A 25,599-nucleotide genomic window follows, 5' to 3' on the forward strand; every position below is an offset into this window, starting at 1 on the left:
CGCCTTACATGTAAGATTCGTGATGTTTTTTCTCTGATGTCTCACCAGGATGCATGCCTGTGAGTAACTGATTGAAAGAAACCAGAAGTATACATATTTCAGGTGAAAGAATGTTTAAGATATCACTTGGCCCTACCATTCACATAATAAATCACCATTCTTTGCTCCAACTGGTTCTACTGCAGTTCACAAAGATCACATTTTCTTTATAAAAACAAGTGAATTTCTTTCTCAATAAAATAATAATAAACCCATATTCTATCCAGTTTAAGTCTCTATGTGACTAGAATTCCCAAGGGATTTTGAAAAGGATTCAGCACTTCAAGTCAAAAGGCTCGGTTGGAATTTTGGGTCCATCACAAACTTTCTGGTCATCATTAGGAAAACCACTTGCATTTTTTATCCTTAAATGTAGGGTAAGAATCGTACCTACCTCTTATCAAGACCCAACAAGAACATGTGGCTGTGTAAAGGGCTGAGTCAATGTTGATGGTCATTATCATGCAATTTAAGAACCTGATCTTATCAATTAAATGGCATTTGTCACCAAACAGAGACCACTGCTCAACAGCCTTGCTGAAACTTTATTTTCAAGTGAAAGGAATTTGGTTTGCTGTATTTCTATCTTTATTAGCTAAGATAAAGTGATTAACATGCATTCATTCAGGCCACAAAATCATCAGCAGCTGGACCATTCCTAGTTTCCATATCATTCTCTATGAAATAAGGTTTACAAGACCTTGAAGATTCATCAGGCCACTCTCAAATGTTCATGTTTCCTGTGCTTTGAGTTTTTACTGAATATGCTTGATTGTAAGTGATCACAGATGAATTTTCACTCACCAGTTCCAACAACAAAATAAAACAAAATTAACTGGTTTATCCAATGGAGAGGTGATAGAACAGAAGTGGCTTTAGATTTAGTTGTTTAGAAGATGACCTCAGGATTTTGCTTCTCTCCTTTCTAATGCTAATATTCCATTTCTAGTGAGCTTCTTCACGAAGCAGAACAGCAGTCCCCATAAGCTTCAGGTTTGCTTGTCCTTAGAGCTCATGAAGCCAGAGAAGACCCTCTCATCCCAGGGTCTAGGACAATCCCCCAGCCAGATTCAGATTGTTCTGCTTCTGTTATATTCCTGCACCAGAGACAGGGAGATGGGGTCATATGACGTACAGTCCTAAGGTGTGGGGGAAAGTTTCCCAAAGGGCACTCTTACCAAAAGGAGAGGAGAGAAATGTTGGGTATACCAAAAAAAAAAAAAAAGAAAGAAGGAAAAGAAAAGCAACAGATTTTTACTATGCCTAACCTCATCCAGCAGAACCATCTTCTCTACTTATTGAGTTAAAAAATCTCTCTGCTATACATAAATTTGTTAACAAACTCCAATTACTGAAAAGAAGAGGGAACACACTGACACACATTGAAAATCTACTCTGGTCTAGGCCAATTTCTAGATATTTTAACATTTATAACAACCTAGGTTGTTTTAATAATATCCCCCATTTACAGAGAAGGTAACTGACACTTAGGCTCATTCTGTACCTGTGATCAATCAACCTGAAACTGGCAAAACCTAGATTCAAACACAGTTCTACCTGATTCATTCCACAACGAAAGTGTTATGCTTCTTTTAGCAACTTTGAAGTCAGAGAAAGTGTTGTTTAATGTCTTTAAACAGATGGTGGGCACAACCATATTTGGATGCCTATGTGTATGAGCTAATCAGTCAACAAATATTTGTTAAGTACTCACTACTATGAGTCCCTAATATGAGTCCTACAGGTAAAGAAGAGACAAGTGGTCTAGACCCTGCCTCCAAAGTGGTTAAGTTGGAAAAACAAAACAAATATGCATTCAAAAAAAACTTTAGCTTTAAACCATATGATACTTATAAATACATTTCAGTGAGACTCATCACCCTTGGGATTCCTGTTTAGAGTGTCATGTCCTGTAGACTGCAAGCTCTACCAGGACACTGCTGCATCACAGCTGTAGTTTAAATATCTGCTGATTGGTGATTAATGCGGACTATGCTCATGGGAGGTGTCACAGAAAGAATAAGTCTTGAGCTGCCTTCACAAAATAAATAATGTGGGGGTATGGTTGGGGTGGGTTTTTTTTTTTTATTTAAAAAGGGAAGGCAGGTAGAAAGATAACACTTCACCCAGAAAATAGAAAACTTGTGTGTGACCTCAGCTATCAGCATCGTCTGCATCACCCTGGCTAACCAAGAGGCCCTGAGTCTGTCCATATGACCTGTTCATTGCTACTATAGTCAGCATTGGAAAAGCCAACACATTAAGATTATCCATAGCCAAGGAATCTCACAGAGTCTACATCACTCCCCTGGCACCCCCGTCAGAGCTAGAGCTGGTACCTGCAGCTGGAAGACTTGAGGACAGGCTACACCTCTGGAGCTCTTGCAGATATTCCCCAGCACCAGCCTGGAGCATCACAGCCACACTGAGTGGCTAGACCCGGAGGAGCAGTAGCATTTTCAAGTAGTCTGGCTCTCAGGGACTCCTACTCATAGGAGAAGGGGGAATGTACCACATCAAGGGAATACCCAGTGGGACAAAGGGACCCAGAGAGTAGGCCTTAAGTCCTTGATCTTTCCCCTGGTGGGAAGTCTCTTTCAGAAAAGGCACAGCTGCAGTGCTAGGCTCAGCAGAGAAACTCTTAGGCCCTACTCCAAAAGTCAGGCAACCCTGGTGCTCATGAAGGGTCTTAGAGAAGGGGACGTCTTCTCCCTGTCATCCATCACTGCAGACACAGCTGGGGCTTTTCCCATGGGAGCTTGGCATGTGTGCACCTATAGGAAGCCTCTCTGGAATACTTCAGGGTGACTCCATCCCCACAGGAGGCGCACTCTCCAGGTGCAGGCTTGCATGAGAAGTAAAGTCACAATTCCTCTCTACTTGGAACATCAACAGGCTTGTACATAAAAAGAGGTGTCTATCTGATCAGAATAGCCAGAACATTGGCTCAGGGGTGTTTGAGAGGTAGATGGCTTTCCTGCTGGCCTGGCAAGGGTAGGGGTGGGTGCAGTCTTTCCCTCTGATAAGGCCTCAGTGCATTTCACTGAGAGCTCCCCCAGCCACCCCTGCCCACCATTTGGTATTGTGTTTAACCACATGCTTTAGCCACATCCTGTTATTACCCATGGACACCATACCCCTATTGGCATGACGCCTGAACTATTCAACCTAGTAAATAAAATAATAGGGAAAGTAAATAAATAAAAAAGTGTATGCCATGGGGGAATGAGATAAGCTTCAAGAAACGTCTACCATTCCAACCCTATTAACAGACTGTGAACTTGCTCACACATTAAGCGTATTGCTACTACAACCAGAAACTGAGAAAGTCATCATACAAAGACTCTCTATAACCAAGGAACTCATACAGAGGCTTCACTCCTGAAAGCACCAAGAGCCAAATTAAGCTACAATAAACTATAAACATTAAAGTCACATCCTTAAGGAGGAAAAAAAGAATTTTTAAAAATACACAGTGAAATCACAAATTCAAGAATAATTAGAATAAATAGTCTACACAAATGAGAAGGAACCAAAAAAGTAATTCTGGTAATATGACAAAACAAGGTTCTATAACACCCTCAAAAGATCACACTAGCTCCCTAGCAATGGATCCAAACCTAGAAGAAATCTCAGAATTGCCAGATAAAGAATTCAGAAGGTTGATTGTTAAGCTACTCAAGGAGATACAAGGGAAAGGTGAAAGCCAACTTAAAGAAATTTTTTTACATGCAGGATATGGATGAAAAATTCTCCAGAGACATAGATATCATAAAGAAAAAACAATCCCAACTGCTGGAAGTAAAAAACACACTTAGAGAAATAGATAACCAGGAAAGGACATAACAAAAAAGAAAATTACAGACCAATATCCCTGATGAACAAACATGCAAAAAATCCTCAACAAAATACTAACTAACCAAATTCAACGGCACATCAAAAATAAAACACACCATGATCAAGTGGGTTTCATACCAGGGATGCAGTATGAACTACTGGGCCATGCCCTGGTACTGGTCCACGGTCTCTTAGGAAATGAGTCACACAGCAGGAGGTGTGTGGTGGGCAAGTAAGCATTACCACTGAGCTCCATCTCCTGTCAGGTCAGCAGCGGCATTAGATTTTCATAGGAGCGTGAATCATATTGTGAACCGTGCATGGCAAGAGATCTAAGTTGCACACTCCTTATGAGGTGGAAGAGTTTCATCATGAAACTATTCCCCCATCCCCCACTTTCCCCCAGAAAGGCTGGGGATCACTGGTTTAACATACTGGAGTCAATAAATGTGATATATCACATAAACAGAATTAAAAACAAAAACCATATGATCACCTCAATAGATGCAAAAAAAAAAAGCATTTGGTAAAACCCAGCATCCCTTTATGATAAAAAACCTTCAACAAACTAGCATTGAAGGGACTTACTTCAAATTAATAAAAGCCATATATTACAAACCCACAGGCAACATCATACTGAACAGGAAATGGTGAAAGCATTCCCCCTGAGAACTGGAATAAGACAAAGATGCCCACTTTCACCACTTCTATTCAACATAGTACTGGAAGTCCTAGCCACAGCAATAATGCAAGAGAAAGACATCAAGGGCATCTAAATGGGAAAAGAGAAAGTCAAACTATTACTGTTCACTGAAGATATGTTGGTATACCTAGAAAACCCTAAAGACTCCTCTAAAATAATCCTAGATTTAATCAACAAATTCTGTAAAGTCTCAGGTTACAAAATCAATATACACAAATCAGTAGCCCTGCTATATACCAACAATGACCAAGCCAATAAACAAATCAAAAACTCAATCTCTTTTACAGCAGCTGCAAACAAAAACAAAAACAAAATCCCTAGGAATATACTTTACCAAGGGGGTGAAAGATCTCTACAAGGAAAACTACAAAACACTGTTGAAAGAAATCATAGATGACACAAATGAATGAAAACATAACCCATGTTCATGGATTGGAAGAATCAATATTGTGAAAATGACCATACTGCACACAGCAATCTACAGACTCAATGCAATTCCTATCAAAATACCACATCATTTTTCAAAGAATTAGAAAAAATAATCCTAAAATTCACATGAAACCAAAAATGAACCCAACTAGCTAAAGCAATCCTAAGCAAAAAGAACAAATCTAGAGGCATCACATTACTGGACTTCGAGTTATACTACAGTGCTGTAGTTACCAAAACAGCATGGTATTGCTATAAAAGTAGGCACCTAGCTCAATGGGAAAGAATAGAGAACACAGAAATAAAGCCAAATACTTAAAGCCAACTGATCTTCAACAAAACTTACAAAAACAGAAATGTAAAGGACACTCTATTAACAAATGGTGCTGGGAAAACTGGCGAGCCACATGTAGAAGAATAAAACTGGATCTCTATCTCTCACCTTGTACAAAAATCAACTCAAGATGGATCAAAGACTTAAATCTAGGACCAAAACCCATAAAACTTCTAGATGATAACCTTGGAAAAACTCTTCTGGACATTGGCCTAGACAAAGAATTCATGACTAAAACTCCAAAAGCAAATGCAACAAAAACAAAAAAAAAATGGGACCTAATTAAATTAAAAAGCTTTGGCCAGGCACGGTGGCTCATGCCTGTAATCTCAGCACTTTGGGAGGCCGAGGCGGGTGGATCACAAGGTCAGGAGATTGAGACCATCCTGGCTAACACAGTGAAACTCCGTCTCTACTAAAAATACAATAAATTAGCCAGGCGTGGTGGCGGGCACATGTAGTCCCAGCTACTCGGGAGGCTGAGGCAGGAGAATGGCAGGAACCCAGGAAGCAGAGCTTGCAGTGAGCCAAGATCATGCCACTGCACTCCAGCCTGGGTGACAGAGCGAGACTCTGTGTCAAGAAAAAAAAAAAAAAAAAAAAAAAAAGCTTCTGCACAGCAAAAGAAATAATCAGCAGAGTAAACAGACAACCCACAGAATGGGAGAAAATATTTGCAACTATACATTTGACAAAGGACTGGTATCCAGAATCTACAAGAAACTCAAACAAATCAGCAAGAAAAAAATAATAATCCCATCAGAAAGTGAGCTAAAGACATGAATAGACATTTCTCAAAAGAAGATACACAAATGGCCAATAAACACATGAAAAAAATGTTAAACATCATTAATCATCAGAAAAATGCAAGTTGAAACCACAGTGAGATACCACCTTACTCCTGCAAGAATGGCCGTTATTAAAAAGTCAAAAAACAATAGACATTGGCATAGATGTGGTAAAAGGGGAATACTTATACACTGCTGATGAGAATGTAAACTAGTACAGCCTCTGGAAAACAGTATGGAGATTTCTTAAAGAACTAAAAGTAGATCTACCATTCAATTCAGCAATCCCAGTACTTGGTACCTACCTATATTTGTCTGTTCTTTCTTTGCTATTAAGAACTACCTGATACTGCGTAATTTATTTTTTTAAAAAAGAGGTTTACTTGGCTCATGGTTCCAAGGCTTTACAGGAAGCATAGTGGGGGAGGCCTCAGAAAACTTATAATCATGGCGGAGGGTGAAGAGGAAGCAGATACCTCTTCACATGGGAGAGCAGGAGAGAGAGAGGGTGAATGGGGAAGTGTTACACACTTTTAAACCACCAGATCTCATGAGAACTATCATGAGAACAGTAAGGGAGAAGTCGGCCTCCATGATTCAATCACATCCCACCAGGTTCCTCCTGCAACAATGGGTATTACAATTCAACAAGAGATTTGGGTGGGGACACAGAACTAAACCATATCATTCCATCCCTAACCCCTCCCAAATCTCATGTCCTTTTCACATTTCAAAACACAATCATGCTTTCTCAACAGTTCCCCAAAGTCTTAACTCATTTCAGCACTAACTCAAATGTCTACAGTCCAAAAGAGCCTGTACCTGTACCCTTTTGTGTATGAGCCTATAAAATCAAAAACAAGTTAGTTACTTCCAAGATACAATGGGGGTACAGGCATTGGGTAAATGCTCACATTCTAAAAGGGAGAAATTTCCCAAAACAAAAGGGGTGTATGCCCCATCCAAGTCCAAAACCCAGCAGGGCAGTCATTAAATCTTAAAGCTCCAAAATAATTTCCTTTGACTCCATGTCTCACATCCAGGCAACACTGATGCAAGGAGTTGGCTCCCAAGGCCTCAGGCAGCACTGCCCCTGAGGCTCTGAAGGTAACAGCTTCTGTGGTGACTGCTTTTATGGGCTGGTGTTGAGTGCCTGAGGCTTTTCCAGACACATGGTGCAAGGCGTGAGTGGATCTACCATTCTGGGTTCTGGGGGATGGTGGCCGTCTTCTCACAGCTCCACCAAGCAGTGCCCTAGTGGGGACTCTATGTGGGGGCTCCAGCCCCAAATTTCCCCTCTGCACTTCCCTAGTAGAGGTTCTCCATGAGGGCTCCACCCCTGCAGCAGACATCTGCCTGGACATCCAGGCATTTCCATACATCCTCTGAAATCTAGGTGGAAGCTCCCAAGCCTCAACTCTTGCCCTCTGCATACCCACAGGCTTACCACCAAGCGAAAGCTGCCAAGGGTCAGGGTTTACACCCTCTGGAGCAGCTGCCTCAGACATATTTGGGCCCTTTTAGTCATGGCTAGAACTGCAGTGGCTGGGATGCAGGGAGCAGTGTCTTGAGGTTGGTCAGGGCAGTGGGGCTTAAGGAAGTGGGACACCCAGACCCTGGGGCCAGCCTGCAAAATCATTCTTCCTTCCTAGGCCCAGCTTGAATTACTCCTGAGAAAATGGGTTTTTCTTTTCTACCACTTGGCAGGGCTGCAAATTTTCCAAACTTTTACACTCTGTTTTCCTTTTAAATATGTTTCAGTTTCAGATTATCTCTTTGCTCACAAATATAAGCTTATGCTGTTAGAAGCACTCAGGTCACATGTTGAATGCTTTGCCACTTAGAAATTTCTTCTGCCAGATACCCTAAATCATCATTCTCAAGTTCAAAGTTCCACAGATCTCTAGGGCAGGGGCACAATGCCTAGAACCTCTTTGCTAATGAATAACAAAAGTGACCTTTGCTCCAATTCCCAACAAGTTCTTCATCTCCATCTGAGACCACCTCAGCCTGGACTTCAGTGTCCATGTCACTATCAGCATTTTGATCACAACAATTTAACAAGTCTGTGGGAAGTTTCAAACATTCCCTCTTCTTCCTGTCTTCTTCTGAGCCATTCAAACTGTTCCAACCTCTGCCCATTACCAAGTTACAAAATTGCTTCCACATTTTCAGATATCTTTATAGCAATGCCTCTCTCCTGGTACCAATTTTCTGTATTAGTCCATTCTCACATTGCTATAAAGAACTACCTGAGAATGGGTAATTTATAATGAAAGAGGTTTAATTGGCTCATGGTTCCACAGGTTGTACAGGAAGCATGGCTGGGGAGGCCTCAGGAAACTTACAATCATGGTGGAAGAAGAAGGGGAAGCAGGCACGTCTTCACATGAGGAAGCAGGAGAGAGAGGGCAAAGGTGGAATGCAACACATTTTTAAACAACCAGATCTCATGAGAACTCACTATCATGAGAACAGCAAGGGGGAAATTCACCCCCATGATTCAATCACCTCCCACCAGGCCCTTCCTCCAATGCTTGGGATTACAATTCGACATGAGATTTGGGTGGGGACACAGAGCCAAACCATATCACTATTCAAAGGAAAAGACGTTATTATATGAAGAAGACACATGCACACGTATTTTTATTGCATCTCAGTTCACAATTGTAAAGATGTGGAACCAACGTAAGTGCCCATCAACCAGTGGGTGGATAAAGAAAATGTGGTATACATACAGCATGGAAGAGTACTCAGCCATAAAAAGGAATAAAATAAAGTCTTTTGTAGCAACTTGAAGGGAGCTGAAGGCCATTATTCTAAGTGAAGTAACTCAGGAATGGAAAACCAAATACCATATTTTCCCACATATAAGTGGGAGCTAAGCTATGAATATGCATAAGCATACAGAGTGTTAAAACGGATTTTGGAGATCCCAAAAAGGGAGGGTAGGAGAAGGGTGTGGGATTAAAAACTACATATTGGGTACAACATACACTACTTGGGTGATGAGTGCACTAAAATCTCAAAATTCACCGCTGTATAATTCATCCATATAACCAAAACCCACTTGTACCCCCAAAAGCCATTGAAATTTTTTTTAAAATGTTTAAAAAAAGGAAGAAAGACACAAGGTAGGCATTCTTTAAATGTGGAAAGAATGGCTAAGGGAAGCAAGAATAATGTGAGAATAAGCACAGAGTAGCAGTGAATGTGGTATACATAGGGAAAAGTGAAGGAAAAGGGTGTCCAGAGACGCGGGCTCTCTGTACTGATTGTGCGGAAACCGGAGTTAACTCACAATTTTCAGTGGCACTAGCACTGTCAAGTGCTTTGTTTGTTGTTTGTTTTTTCACCCAAGAAAGGAAGATGTTCAGACTACAGATTGTGGTCAAGAAATTATATATTTTAGGTGAACAAACAGCGAGGTTTGGACATGAAGGAAGGCACATACACTGCACAGAGAAACAGCTCTTCCCAACTCTAAAATTTAGACGTTTATTTGGGAAATTTTGTTGGGCAGTCTAAATGCAGGAAGATTAAAAAGGACTTGGAAAATCAACAGGGTATCCTGCCTTCATGATGCTGTGAGGCATTGTGCCCCAGAGTGAAAACTGCATTTTTGTGAGTTGGTGTGGCAGGCTTGGAATACCACCTCTTTCAGCAGCTCACTCAGGTCTGGCGAGGGCTATTTGTACCTCAACGAGGGCTTCTCTCCAAGAAAGCCCTGAATCCTTTTCCTCCTTTTTCCTGCAGATTCACTATAGGACACTTTTTGAAGCAAGAGCATGCATTTTCCCCCTGGCGCTCTGCAGCGGTTCTCAGAGCCCAGTGTCACTCACATAGGTGGGACTGCTCTCAGTTCAGAGAGCGCTGGGACACTTAAGATGAAAAGTCCCTGGAAGTTAGCAAACAGCCATCTGTCACTCTGGCATCGATTTACTAAAAGTGACTTCTAGGGTATTCTAAACCACTTTTAAAAAACAAATGAGTCACTTCGACTTCCTCACCCCGCAAGAGATAGGAAGGCAGCAGTGGAGTGCTCGCTCAGGAGCTGTATTTGTTTAGCGATTAGCCTAGAGCTTTGATTTTAGGGCAAAAGCGAGCCAGACAGTGCGGCAGACGTAAGGATCAAAAAGGCCACCTATCATTCGCCGGGGACGCCTGCCTCCTTACCCTGATAACGTAACTATTTCTCTGCATAGGATTTTAGTTTTTGTGTTTTTGTTTTGTTTTATTCTGTTTAATCACTTCAAGTATCTCATCCATTATTTGAAGCGGGCTCGGAGGAAACGTGCCGCATCCTCCAGTCCTTGTGCGTCTGTTTAGGTCTCTCCGAAGCAGGTCCCTCTCGACTCTTAGATCTGGGTCTCCAGCACGCATGAAGGGGTAAGGGTGGGGGGGTCCCCTATTCCGGCGCGCGGCGTTGAGCACTGAATCTTCCAGGCGGAGGCTCAGTGGGAGCGCCGAGAACTCGCCAGTACCGCGCGCTGCCTGCTGCCTGCTGCCTCCCAGCCCAGGACTTGGGAAAGGAGGGAGGGGACAAGTGGAGGGAAAGTGGGGCCGGGCGGGGGGTGCCTGGGAAGCCAGGCTGCGCTGACGTCACTGGGCGCGCAATTCGGGCTGGAGCGCTTTAAAAAACGAGCGTGCAAGCAGAGATGCTGCTCCACACCGCTCAGGCCGCGAGCAGCAGCAAGGCGCACCGCCACTGTCGCCGCTGCAGCCAGGGCTGCTCCGAAGGCCGGCGTGGCGGCAACCGGCACCTCTGTCCCCGCCGCGCTTCTCCTCGCCGCCCACGCCGTGGGGTCAGGAACGCGGCGTCTGGCGCTGCAGACGCCCGCTGAGTTGCAGAAGCCCACGGAGCGGCGCCCGGCGCGCCACGGCCCGTAGCAGTCCGGTGCTGCTCTCCGCCCGCGTCCGGCTCGTGGCCCCCTACTTCGGGCACCATGGACACCTCCCGGCTCGGTGTGCTCCTGTCCTTGCCTGTGCTGCTGCAGCTGGCGACCGGGGGCAGCTCTCCCAGGTCTGGTGTGTTGCTGAGGGGCTGCCCCACACACTGTCATTGCGAGCCCGACGGCAGGATGTTGCTCAGGGTGGACTGCTCCGACCTGGGGCTCTCGGAGCTGCCTTCCAACCTCAGCGTCTTCACCTCCTACCTGTAAGTACTTCCCCACGTCACTCCGGGAGAGAGACTAAGAGGGGAAGGAAGGTTCGTCCAAGGCGAGGCTGGAGGCTCCTCGGCGCCCGCCTGCTCGTGGGGGAGGGGGGCGAGTTTGTCAAGGGCATCCTGGCCAGGCCTGTTAGGGCCCCCAGAGAAATGCACGTGTCTCGGGGAGTAGCGTGCCGGCACTTTCTGGACCCGCAGAGAAATGGCTTCGAGTGCAACCCGGGAAAGCGCTGCTGCGCCGCAGCTTCCCAGTCCAGCGCTAGAAACATCGCAGGGCGAATTCCTGCAAATGCAGGCATTTGCGTGCGGAGTGGACATTTGTGACCCAGAGCCTGGTACCCAAAGGCAGGCTGCCATCTGGTCCCCGCCCCAACCGCCTCTCTGCGTCTAGTCGCATTCCACGAAAAGATGGTCTGTAGAAAGTTTCCCCAAAGGAGAAACAACTTGCCCAGCTCCAAAGGGTTTTTAGTCTGCATCCCTTGCACTGTGACGTGATGTAACCTTTTTGGGGTTTTTTCCTCTTTTCCTCCCTTCCTTCCTCCCTTCTTCCTTCCTTCCCTCCCTCCTTTCTTTTTATTTTCTTTCTTTTTTAACGGCGTGATTAAAATGTGGCAACCACAAACCCCGATTAGAGCTGCCAGAACGTTATCTTTACCTTTGGCTGCCCGCGCCGCCCTTTGAAGTGCCCGCGGCCGCTGTGTAATCTTTAACCATCTCTTCCCCCGGGGAGGAAAGGGGAAGTGGGCTGAAGGCTGTTGGGCTGGTAAACAGCGGCACCGACACCCAAAGGGAGACCTGAAGCTCTCTATCATCCCTGGGGGATTCTCCCACCCCTTCTCTCCCCACTGCAACTTCCAAAGCCCTGAGGCGGCGGCTCATTGCGTAATTTTTTCTGTGGAAAACCCAGGCCCGAAGGTAACAGGTAGTTGGGTGAACGCGGTGACCCAGGAGGAACCCTATTCTCGGAGACCAAGGCGACTACTCTCTCCACCCCCGTGCAAAGCATCTGGGGCTTCATTCCTTCCAGCAGAGAGGCCAGGTTCTAGGCCACTCTGGGAAACAGGTGCTCCTTACCACAAGGTGAAACATTTAGGTTTTAGATCAAGACATTGCAGCGAGCCCACCCCAAGCCCATGCAGTCCCAGTTTTCGGCTTCTCTGATGTACCTTGGCAGGAGAGAGTTGGGATGTTTGTGAACCAGTTCTTCCATCTGTTTAGTTGTTTTCTGGAGGGAAGAAACATGAAGAGGCTTGCACAACATTTTCCACTAGGTAGTGATTCTTTTTCTGGAGACAGAGTGAGGAAGAAAAAAACATCTTTTACTTGCTTTAATATTGTCTTTAAAGAAAGGTACCATTCTGCTAGATTTTAGGATTGGTAGATGGCAGGTCGCCTCCTCCTCTACCATAAAGCTATTTTGACTGCTTTTTCTTTTTTACCTGAAAGAATGTTAAAACTGTTTCCCCACCAGGTTTCCCTTCAATTGCACTCGTGCATGTGGTAGTGATATCGTTCCAGGAATGGAAATCTCTCCTAAATGATCACGCTCTCAGAATTCACATTTCCTCCTCCTGAACAGCTATCTCTACTACAAAGCAGAATACTCATCCCCAACCACTCTAGTTTAACTGCTAAAGTCAGTGTTGCAAGGATCCCGCGCTCTCCAATGCAGTGAATTTCTGAGACCAGTTTGGCAATTTTGCTTGGCAGCCTATAACTCCTCTTCCCCATCACCCTGAAGAAGTTTGACTGTATGCAAGGGAGGTGTGCAGTACCCCCAGACACTTAACTTACTATTTAAATCATACATTCATTATAAAATATGTTTAAGGATACAGAAAATAAGCTTATGAATAGTTCCAGATTGCTTGCTTCTCTCACTTGAAAGAACAAACATTTGTTAGGCTTCCGTTACTAAAAGTTGGCATAAAATTCTGCTTTAAACCATTTCCCACATACCTCAAATGCATTTAACTGTGTCCTCCATGTGCTCAGGGGAACTTACTGCCACCTACTGCCAATGTTCCCTATCTATCTATAGATAGAACAATCTATCTATCTATATTATAGATAACCTCTTGAAGTTAAGATACTATTAGGAAATTAAGTGCCATATTATTCTCATGTGATGACAGCCTGTACCCTGGCCTAAGAAGACATTTTCCCAGTGCCCTGTGAAATATTAAACTCAGAGTATCTGTAAAAAGTGATACAGTAAATGTTAAATACTTATTTCTAATGCAACACAGTTCAGGGAATATGAGTGCTGAATATAGAAGTCAGTCCTGAAGTAAATAAGCAATGTGGTGTTCTTTATAATGTGTGATTTCATAATTTGGTGTCCCTATATACTAAAAAATGCCAGGGCCCATGGGATGCCCTTTGAGCAGGTATTGAGGGTTTGGGGGCTTTGTTGGTTTCTTACAACCAGAGGAACGCTGTGCAGACATTAAGGGTAGATGATGCCCTCTTTTGGTTACACCTAGTATTCTCTGACCATTTCTGTCTTCACTTGTGCAGCCAAAACATAAAAGAGGAATTTTGATTTATTCATATTCAAATAAATGAGTATGTGTTCTACTGATTTTCTTATTTGAAGGAATAACTTCCCTTTGATGTTGAAAGGGAACACAAAGTTATAGCTCCACTCCACTGGGGCCCAGTAGAAATTAAGCCTTGATGAAAAAGTTGCAGTGTACCAAGACTGATGTGGTAAAAAGCCAGAACTACTATCTTTTATTATTTGTAAGAGGTTATCATCATTTATTTAGTCAAAATGTTATCACCCAATCCCCTTCAAAAAAAGAACAAGCATTTCCTTTTCTTCAAACAGATTGATGATGGCAAGTTCCAGCTGTACACATTTGGCAAGTAGCTGTACACATTTACCACAATCTGAGAGCTGGCTAGTCAGACTTGTAGGTAAAGAAAGTTTCCTACATCTCTTCACAGAATGCAAACACTATTTATGTGCCATTTTGTAATCTTTTTTTCCCAGAAAAGCAAAATTTTAAGCCAGTGCAAATATTAATATTGATTCTCTTTTCTTACTGAGCTGCCTTCCACAGTAGGTCTTTAACTGGACCAATAAACCGAGTGAAAACGCTGGAAAAATCTCAGTCTTCATCTCTTCTCTCCCCCTGCTGCCCCAGCAAGTGGTTATGGGCTCTGATTTTACTAACAGGGGCTAATAAAGTTTACTTAGCAGAAAATAAGGAACGCACCAAGGTTGAGATATAAAAGCAGACAATAATGGTTTACAACATTTAATACCAGTTGTGATCTGTCCTAAATAAAGTAGTTCTAACATCTAATCTTAGTATAGGTAAGTTATTTTAATGCATCAAATGTGGACATTTTTATTAATAGGGTCTTAAAAGTAAACTCCTCTCTGCTACTTTGATGTGTCTGTCTAGTTAGTGTGACATTCAGATAGAAAACTGAATCCTAATGAAGATCCTAATATAATAAATATACTTTTCTTTATTGGTCCAGAACAGCTATTTTATTTTAAAAAGAAAACTGAATTTTTCTTTGCTGTTCCTTAAAGGCATTCACATTTCATCCACAAGCAAATGTATGTTATATAAACCAAAGGGACCAAGAGAAAAGATTTTTTTTTTTAATTATATGTAGTTTGGTTACTTTTTCATATGTAACTTTGAAACAAAATTTAATTTTACACATAACTCCTAAAACTAATGTTAATAAGAATGGAACAAAAGCCACAATTAGTTAAATCAGGCACCGCCTTAATATCATAAATGTGTTTTAAGTGTTTAAGATGCAGTTTCAAGATGAAAGATCCTTTTTAGGATCTTCTTTGAAAATGAGTTAATATAGTTCTGCTTCTCTTATCTTAAATAAAAGAAAATGTACTTTAGAAATGATTACAAAAATAGTAACTCTTATAACAGCCTTAACATTTAGATCAATTACAAACATTATACAGTTTGCTCTAAAATGTACTTTTAGAATTGTTTAAAATATAATGATGCCAGTAAATTTTCTTCATTTTAATGAAGTTCTTTCTTTTTCTCCAGGATTCCTGGGGATTTTTTCCATAGTGTTTTTGTTATAGGGTGAATTATTAAAACTAACTGATAATTAGTCTAAGTAATTTTTTAAAGTAGTGAGCTCATTCAAACAATTTTGTGGCATAAATTTAAAATAAATATTTACTGAATATATTTAACATATGCATGGCAGAGTTGGTGTGACAAGAATGAATTTTTACATATAATAAACATGATCTTCAGTTTTTTTCTTTCTTCCTTATGCATTTTCCTCAAAGTAAAGGAGTTCTGATGTAGCAACAAAAGGTAGCAATCATAAATGAGTTAGAAGATCGGAATCAAGAAATAGCCTGTGTAGTTAAACAACATCATGTTTTGATAATAGACCAGTCACACTTGGGTGTGTTTAAAGAAGTTTAGAAACACAAAACTGGTCTATGATTTCTGAGAGTTAAGTATTTTATCTGAACTATTTTATTGTTTTCAGTTTTCAAAATATATATCTATCAAAGGCATAGAAATTTCAGACCAAACAATTAACCCAATAAAGCTATCAAAATTAAAGACATTATAGAATATTTATAATTTTATAACTGATACTTAATTTTGACTTACCTTAGCAAAGCATTTTTTTATATTTCTTCTATCAAATTCATGGATTTAAGTCATTTTAGCTACAAATTTAAGTATGTTTCTGAATGATCTAAATCACAGGCCATAAGACAGAAATGAAAAACAGTAGTGGGTTGTCCAATGAGCAATTTTGTGAAGTAATGTTTTTGTTTGGTTCAGTTATTATGCAAATTTAGAATAAAGCTAAATGGCACATTTTCTTGTAAACACTTCCTCAATAGATACTTCTGGTAAACTGAAGTCTTCATGAGAAGACAAATTCCTTCCTATAAGATTCAAATTCCTCACTCCAGTTGCAATATTTTCCTTTATAGAGCCTCATTTTGTAGTAGAGAGATGAATCAGACTGGCACTAAAGCCACAACTGGTATATTACAAATAAAACAAAATGAGCTGAGTATCTAGTCCTGTTGCTATTTTTGATGTATCTTGGTAGAATTTCACTTGTTAAATCGGCCCATGAGTTCTAGCCCACTGCAACTCTTTCATTCCCAGATCTGTCAGCTTTAATCCACACTTTAATTTAACCATTGTAAATAACCAACTACATGCCCAATTTCACCTATGGAACTCTATGCCAAAAGGAGACATTTCATAGTCTATAATGTGGAATTTTTAATTAAATTCTCATAATTCAAAACTGATTTTGTTATCCATAAGTTATATGGTGGGAAGCAGGTCCGTTCCTAAAATCTGTGGCATTTTTCTGTTTAATGGATTAAGCCCAATGGGAATGCCTGGCTTGAAACTGGAACGGAGAAAAACGTTAGTCATTTGATTTCAAGAAATGGAATAATGTATCTAGTGGTAATGCTAAAAGGCTCTTAACAGGATGTTAGCATTAGTGGAAAACTATTCAAAAGATGTTTCATAAGCAGAAGTGCTTCCGTATATCCTCATGTATTACTTCTCTTTTTAATGTTTAAGTCTGGAATTGGAGACGCTGAGATTTACTTGGAGAGTATGCAAAGGAACCAACTCCTGACCGTGTAAACAACTTCCTGAAAGTCAGATGGAATAACACCCTAGGGTTTCATGGTGGGCTCTTTCCTTCAGGGCTTATTCTTCTTCTTTGGCTGTGAGCTCCTCCAGGGTAGGGCATTTTCCACTTTATACCCCAAGTGCCCATACCAATGCCTGGCTCTTAAGGGAGTTCAGTAAATACCAGTAATGTTGAATTGAGTAGAATTGGCTGAACCAGCTGCTGAAATCCCAGTGGCTAATAGGAGTCAGAGAAAGACAGGTGAGAACTACTAGTCCGCAAGTACAAACAACACAAGGCCACTGGCCACAATTATTGTCCAGCCCCATTTGAAATACAGCTGAATTGTGTTCAGTTTAAATGATGCAATGAGTTGTTTATTTTAACACATGCCATGATTTACATGTATAAATTACTTTATTATTGTAATAGCAATAGTCATAATAACTGATAGTTGTATTGTGTTTCCTAAGTGTTCGGCACTAAATACTTCACTCAGTCATAGGCCCCACAAAGATACTAAATACTTTACTCAGTCAATACCCCCCTTGTGGTGGGGCAACTTGTGACGTTAGGAATGATAATAGTACCTCTTATTAGGTAAGCTTACTGTAAGCTTATTTCAAGTATTTCCATTGCTCAAAATATTTTTGGATTTCCTTTGAAGTTATCTTCAGGGCCAGTTTACAGCAACCCAAGAAAACAGGCTTTCCAATTTATACTTATGCCTTGTAATCATTTTAATTGGTGCTGAAATGTTTTGGCCCATTTTTCTTTTCAGGAACACAATTTATGAAGCCCTAATACCAGAAATATTTTTTCAGGGAATTCCAGAGCAAAATGCAGTTTTCAATTTTCCAATAATGTGAGCATTACATTATATAGTTTAGGGCCAATATTACAAATTTAGTAGACATCTTTTTATATATCCATTTTCTTACTACCACAGAAACAATTTTTCTTGTCTTCAAATCAGAGATAAGTTGCAGTAGCTGCCAGAGTATTGTGAAGAGGGATCAATAGATTAGTAACCACCTAGGCAAGAATAAAACTTTTTTCCTATAACCAGATCTATGTGTCAAATTAAGTAGCTGCATTCTTTGGAACTATTTCTCAGTTCAGACAGACATGAACTTTCTTAACAGGCAAATTCTATTTGAGCTTGTATTCACCTTTAAAATGGATGAGATGCGATACATTGTTGTCACGAAGGTATCAGAATGTTATTCATTTGATTCACAATAGAAAATTGTTTCAAAGTTTTATCAAATCCCCCAACATATTTTTAAACTTTGCATGCTTTGACAATTAGTGATACAGACTTATGTGTCAATTAGAAATCTGCATAAGTCATAGAAAAGTCCCCTCCTTCAAATAATGAAAAACCTTTTCTGAACTATGCATTTAATTTCCTCAGTCCCTTGATTCAGCTTATTAACCTGATATACATTAATCATTTATTGTATTACAAAGTCAACAGAAAAAACAGTACTGATGTTTAGAAAAATTAGGATATGTTTGGGGTACAGTCTCTAGAATGTTTTAAAATAGTACTCTCATACTCCAGCTTTTTACTGACTTAACAATTTATTCAACAATCTCTAATTTTCAAATGTCCTATTTTTTCTATATGCACATTTTCCACACACTCATTTTATCCTTCTTGCCTTCAGAAGGAGTGTTTGCTTCTTCTTCAAACAAGGACTGTGATGGCCAAGGGGGAAGAAAGTGTCTCGTGCACACTAATACACACACCAACAAGAAACAATTCCCTTTGTGCCACTTGCTTGGCAGAAATGATACAAACATTGGCAGGGCATAGCCGTGAAGGGCCGACCCTTTACAAGGGAGAGACTGTGGAACTGGCTGCTTGAAGGCACCTTCAGTTCGGTTCAGAAACTGAAATGCAGAAGACAATCGTCCTGGCAAAGGGAGCCCAACTCCAGCTGAGAACGCGTGCATGGAGCTGACCTCCCTCCTCAGCCTGCCAGGCGAAATTAAGCTTTCCTCAAGTGGTCCCTTGTTAGCCTGTCCTTTTTTCCGTGTTGCTCATCTTTCACAACTAGAAGCCAAGTGTTTCAAACTGTTCCTCAGTTTGCAGCCAAATTCCTTTATTTCCCCCTTCCTCCTCGTCTCCCTCACACACACACAAACACACACACACACACACACACACACACAAACTGTGGTGACTAACCTTACATGCGTGCCTTCTTTTCAAAGCCTACACTGAGAAAATAACCTTAGAATTTTTAAGTTTCACTGAAACACTGGTAAATACTTTTGTTCTCCTTTTTTCTTGAAACCTTGATTAAGTGGAGCAGAGACCTCTACAAAAGATGTCGATTTGTAAAAATAACCTTTCTTTAATCAAAAAAGCCACAAAAGTGTACTTCTCAGGAAAGTAGAAAACCACACATGATCTCAAGTGGAAAAAATATAAAGAATTTGCTGAATTTTTAACCTTAGTACATAACAAGGATATTATTTTAAAGTTGGTTGGTTAATGTGGGCTGTGTTAGAACTTCCAATGTGTTGTGTTTGGGTTGATGCAATGTTATTTTAATGAGTTTATTGGTTCGATGCACAAAACACCACATGGTGCTTGAAGGTTTTAGGTTATAAATTTTCTCGTGAGGCACTTACTTGAAGGAACTCTGTTACATAATCAATTGGTCTTTAAATCTATCCGCACAAAATACAACCTTTCAGTTTTTTACATATATGGTTGTTATTATGTGATTATGAAAACCAAATAAAAATTTCCATAGAAGATGTTATATTCCTTAATGAACTATTTTGTATATATATTGAAGTTTTCACAATAAACATTTATTTCACAGTATTTGTTGAGTGAATCTACAAAGTGAATTTGGAGTCTTCTAGTAAAGACTGAGAATAAAGGATCTTCCTCTTTATTTTGTCTTTGTACTTCCTGTCCTGAAGGGACCCTTAGCAGACATGCCTGCATTTGGCAATAGGCCTACTCTATCATTGTTACAGTGTTAACTGTACAATAGAGAAAAGCCTAGAAAAAGAATGGCAAGAGAGGTGGAAGGGCTAATGGAAGAAATTTGCGACCCAAGGGACAGTGCTGACGGAACTGAGAGACTGTGAGTTACTGGACTCCACTAGACACCTGTTCCCAGGGGATACGCTTCTCCTGTGTCTCTCTTTGCCTTTCTCCATCCCTCGCTTCAAGATAGTATCAGAGAACTGAAAGGATGCCTTTTCCTTATCTCAGACACTTTTCCCACCAAGGGCGTCAAACTAGAAGATGAAGGGAAGTTTAGAAAAAAGAGTCCTTGGGATTTAAGTATCAACTCCAGTCACCAAAATTGGGGTCTCTGATTTTAATTTGGAAAAGCTACATTACTGTTCCTGTGGTGGAAGATCTTAACTCATGCGCAGCCCCTGTTCTTCAGCAGCTGTTGTTCTCTGGGACTCAGTGCAATATAGTACAGGAGGAAGTTCAAGATCTTTTTTTATTGAGTCTTCAAGCTTGGGTAGCAAAAGGAAATCCTAGTTAAACCAGATTCTCCCAGGATGTGAGCATATCTCATTTGAAGATCTTAAAAGGTCTAGCGGCATGATTAACTGACAGCAAGTGTCCACCTTCCACCTCCCAGCTGCTGGCCTTCCAGGAAAACATCTACTTCCCTAGAGTCTGATAGTCATAAGTGTTAGGTAGATATGTTCTGGTCCTGAATGACTACTACATAGTAATTTGAAGCCCTCTTTGCCTTAGCTGTATGAACATTTCAGAATATAATTAGTTGTATATTACAAAGGAAAGCAAATTTGGGGAGATTTATGTTAATTATAATAAACTTAATTTAGAGCTTGAGCTAATACCTAACTACATTTAGAGTAAGTTCTGTGAAGAACTAAAAGGACAATCTTTTATCCACAAATTACCAGAATGACTAAGCTGTATATCTAAGGTCACATTACACAATGCAAGACTGAAATTTAATCGTGATTGCTAGAGCATTACCCTAATTGCCCAAATAAACAGAATTAAAATCACTTAGATGGGTTACAAAGGATTTCAGTGCATCAAAAGCTATGGCTACCCAGGGAATTTAGAATGGGAAGAACCTTGGAATTTACCTAATCCAACGTCTTTATTTCATAGATGATGAAATTTTATATTCATAAGGGGTTAATGACATTCTGAAAATCACGCAGCTAGCAAAGACAGAATTGGACTCCAGATCTCCTGAAAACCCCAGCCCAGTACTACTTCTTGGTCACCTTTATATTTCAATGTCAAATACTCGAATGAACTCAAAAACTCCCAGTTACTTTTCCAGATGTTGCCAAATAGCCCGTTGTTTACACATGTTGTGTATGTCCATATCTAGATATATACCTGAATTTTAACAATATCATCTTATTTTGATCCACTGTAAATACAGACACAGTGTCTCTGTATTACCTAAAAATCTGCAGAGCAAAAAGGAACACTCAGATTTAGTTTGAAGAATAATTAAGCATAATTAATTCCCCAAATGTCTGTTCATAGTTGTCATTTACTTCTTTTTTCTTTTTTTGGTAAAAATGGGAGTATGGCTATGTTGCCCAGGCTGGTCTCGAACTCCTGGCCTCAAGTAATTATCCACCTCAGCCTTCCAAAGTGCTGGGATTATAGGCAGTAGCCACCAGGCCCAGCCTCTGTTCATAGTAGTTAAATATGTGATTATTGTAATTAAAATTTCATTTATGACTTTATTTGATCACATTTTGGTTGCCTTAATGTCTCTTCTAACTGTTCTCTTTCTCTTCTAGCAGTGACATTGCACTAGTCCAGGGTCTACTCACTTTTTTCCTGGATGACTGTAGCAGTTTCCTGTCATGGTCTACGTAGACCTCGAACACATACGCACACACTCCCTACTATCCTGCTACTCTCTTCAAGATGCACCTCTGGTCATGTCTTACCTATATTCAATCCTTCAATGGTGTCCTGTGATTTCATAATAACTTTGAACACCTCAGTTTAGCCCACAAAGCCAACTTTTTTTACCTCATCCCTAACCTGCAACCCCTGCTGCCAATCCCCCCTCCCTAGCTCCCTGTTAAAAGAAAAACCTTAGGCAAATTAAACTTAACAGAGTTTAATTGAGCAAAGAACAAATTGGGCAGCCCCCAAACCAGAATAGGTTCAGAGAGATTCTGGCAATGCCATGTGGTTTGAAGATTTATGGACAGAAGAGGGAAAGTGAAGAACAGTGAATGGAAGTGGGGTGCAGATCAGATGGGTTGATTACAGCTTGATGTTTGCCTTATTTGAACAGAGTTTGAATAGTTAGCCATCTTTGATTGGACAAAACTCGATGCTTGGGACAAGAGGAGGTTACAGTCTCTTTTCACATCCAGTTAGGTTGCAGCTTACAATGTATGGAGGAACTTTTAGGCCAAACTTAGAATATGTAGAGATAGCTTTAGTCTGAATTTAACACCCCAAGCTCTCTTCTCTCCAGCCATTTCAAACTGCATCTTACAATTTCCCTATTTCATGCCTCCAGGTGTTCACATGTGTTGCCATCTGCTGGGATTGCCTTTCTTCTTTTGCTAACCTCTATGAGTCTTTCCATACTCAGCTCAAATGTCACCTCCTCTGGGAAGCTTTCTGTAACCCCACATTTTAGAAACCTGTCTTTGATGCTCCCACATCATGCTGAACCCACTTTGATCATAGTGCTCACCACACTTGATCACCATATTTCATCTACTTGTCCGTTTCTACTACTGGACTATATACCCCTTGAAAATTGGATCAGAACACAGAATTCTTGTATATTGACCATGTTTTTCATTTTCTCTATTTTATGGTGCTTTGACATCTTGGAGCCTTGCTGCTCCTAGAGAGACTGCCCCTCCTAGGGCTAGGGAATTCCTGGAGATAGCAAATGATTTTCTTGGGAGTGCACCTTTCATATGCAAACCAACCAATCCAAAACCCACAACCCCACAACCACTCCCTTTCCCAGGCTCTTTCAGGGCTCTTGACTCTAGGTCAATATTCTCCTGTTCTACTCACCCCAAGCTCAGATTTCAATAAATTGGGATAGCCCCTACATCCCACAGCACACTGAAACTATTCAACTAGCCAATCCTAAACCTGCTTACCCTGCCTTGTCCATTCCTTCCCGTGGAAACCACAATAAAGGACCTTGCCCATGCTTTTCTTCTGCTCCTTCTGTCTCCAGACTGAGCCCAGAGCTTTCCTGTGTGGCTCTGCATGGAATGGTGGGCCCTCTCCTCTTGGGAACTGTGAGTAACAAACTCCCTGTTTAATGGCAGTCACCTCCTGATCTGTTGGCCTCATCACACCTGAATAATATTAACACCTACATTTTAAAACACCCTGTGTCCATGCATGTCTGCATCTGGGCAACTTCAAAAGGGCACATAGCCCAGGCAGACTTGAAGGACAGTCAGCACAGTTTTCTCTCTGGAGGGCACTCTTCTGTTCCCCTAAACTCTACGTAAAACTCAAACTTTGTCCACATACCTAAGACATAAGATGCCATTTTCTAGCTACAAAATGTGCAACGGAGTGAGACTACTTGATATAATTTCTGATATAATCTTATAATGTGATGACAGAGAGATTCTTTCCTCTAAATTTGGCAGACTGATTGTTTGGAATATCCCAAGACAGAAGGAAAAAAATTCAAAAAGTGCTGTTGATGCTTTTACACGTAGTTCCTCATTTGACCCTCCTAACAAACAGTAAAATAGTTGTTACTATCAACATGAGAACATCTCTTGATGTTAGAAATGAGAACATTTCTTGATGACTATTTCAGCCTTATCTTCAGTGACCTTGACAAGTTACTCAATGCCTCAGTTTTCTCATATGTAAGATGGCAATAATAATGACATCTACCTGACTAAGTTGTTGTGAAGACTGGTGAGATAATGCACATAAAGCACTTTGCATGGCACCTTACTTGTGTAGGATGCATTAAATGTTAGGTGTAATTATTTCTGTTGATGATGGTGCAGTTATTATCACACTAAACTCATGCTTTTCAAGTATGCCATGTTGTCTGTTACTGTTATTCCCTAAATTAGCTAAATTAATTGCCCTGAATGTTTAAAAGTATAAGTGTAATTTTCATTAAACAAGATTTCTTAATGTTAAAAACAAGAAAAGAACGAAAAGAACAGCAGAAAGGCACCTACTAGGTAAAGAACTAGAGGAGAAAGAAGGGGCATCTTCAAATGAATTTGGCATCACCCAACAACTGTTATAAATAAAAATATTCTAACTTTTGTTTCTGATCCTTGGTATCAAATAGACAAAAGATTATGAGTTTTAAATGAGGTTTCATATTTGCACATGAGTATGTAGCATTTTGAAGACACTGCACAAATCTCCAGGATAGCTGAGGGCTGAGTGAACACTTTGTCACAGAGAGTAGGCTGATGGCACAATGTTAGGAGTCTACTCCTCAGATAGAATTTAATGAATGACCCAGAATTTGTAGTCCTGGGTTTGAATTGCTTTTATCCTTTCCTTTTTTTTTTTTTTTTTAATCTCATCCACCCTCATGACTTTTTCTGACTGTGAAAGAAAAATTCAGGTTGATAGCTTCTTGTGCTCTTAGAAGCACCAGTATCAGCCGTTGATTTGCTACAGTGGCAGGCAAGAGATGATGGATTTCAGGGGACTGAGAGAAGGTCGGGAATTCAACCTTCCTTCAGAGCCAAAAATACATTCAGGAAAACCCAAGATTTCAACACAACAAAAATGTGTTTCTTTTTTTTTTTTATATTAACTGAAAAAATAGTTCTACTTTAAGAACAAAAACTGATTTAAAGAATGGGCTTGTGTCTACCTGAAAATACATCCAAAATAATCTAATTTTCATGAGGCACCTCAGTACTCATCTTTGATAAGAAGCAGTTGGTTCAACATAATTGCAGGAAGGATCTTTCAGTCAGTGATGGCGATGAGGCTAATATCATTCCCTGAGAATAGTAGGTATCAATGATGTGACTCTGTGTAGGAGAGGGGATTCAAAGTTAAATAGGGGGTCAAAGTACCACTTGGACTTGTGTTTCAAGCAGGAAGCCTCTGGAATTAGGTCCAGTGATCCACAGGGGAGAAGAGAGCTAGGTGAGCAGTTCTTGGAGCAGACAGTCTTTTAATCCTATTGGATGAGCCTGTATTATTGTCTCTGCAGATGTTCTGTACCCTTCTGCAAAAGAGGCAAGCTGGCTTTTCCCATAACTGATGAAATCAAGAGAGCAGGTCTGGAAAAAACAAGGGAAATCTCCTTATATCTTACTACGTGTAAAAAGATGATTCTGGAATTCCCGAGTGCCTACTGAATTAATAAACCAGGAAGCTGATTTATTTTACCACTCTAAATCCAACATGGAAGAAACCGTCAGACATCTACTACATGTCATCCAGCAGTACAGATTGGAGAAGTAAACTCTGTCAGCCCACCTTTATCAAACAGTGTAAATAATCACCAAACCAAGGGAAGCAGAAGGCAGCAAAAGTCGAATAATTTCCAATGAAGAGTCAGAGGATCTCTCTCAGACAAAGGGAAATCCTTCAAGTGGAGAGGAGATGGTAGGAGGAAAGTGGCAGCCCAGAGGAGATGAGACTGTGGCAAATTAGAAAGAAATAAAACAATACCCAAAG

General features: G+C 40.7%; 1 protein-coding gene and 1 long non-coding RNA gene across 7 annotated transcripts in view; one reads left to right on the forward strand and one right to left on the reverse strand.

Moving 5' to 3' along the window:
- Nucleotides 1-1,069: 1,069 nt before the first annotated feature.
- LOC124902962 (uncharacterized) lies at nucleotides 1,070-21,828 on the reverse strand. Its single transcript, XR_007063364.1, has 3 exons — nucleotides 21,753-21,828; nucleotides 12,464-12,583; nucleotides 1,070-1,136 (listed from the first exon to the last, which is right to left on the reverse strand). It is a non-coding gene; the product is annotated as an uncharacterized LOC124902962 (long non-coding RNA).
- Nucleotides 10,125-25,599, forward strand: part of LGR5 (leucine rich repeat containing G protein-coupled receptor 5) — a 147,182-nt gene continuing 131,707 nt past the window's right edge. For 5 of the 6 annotated variants that reach the window (NR_110596.2, NM_003667.4, NM_001277226.2 and 2 more), the window contains exon 1: nucleotides 10,794-11,288. Coding sequence is in view for 4 of the 6 variants with exons in the window: in NM_003667.4 (NP_003658.1) it covers nucleotides 11,077-11,288 (212 nt within the window). In the remaining 2 variants the exon portion in view is untranslated. Of the gene's footprint in view, nucleotides 10,316-10,793; nucleotides 11,289-25,599 lie in introns of those variants that run through there. The other variant, XM_047429800.1, reaches the window with a different exon arrangement.

The sequence above is a fragment of the Homo sapiens genome, chromosome 12 (assembly GCF_000001405.40).
Source record: "Homo sapiens chromosome 12, GRCh38.p14 Primary Assembly".
Lineage (NCBI taxonomy): Eukaryota > Metazoa > Chordata > Mammalia > Primates > Hominidae > Homo > Homo sapiens.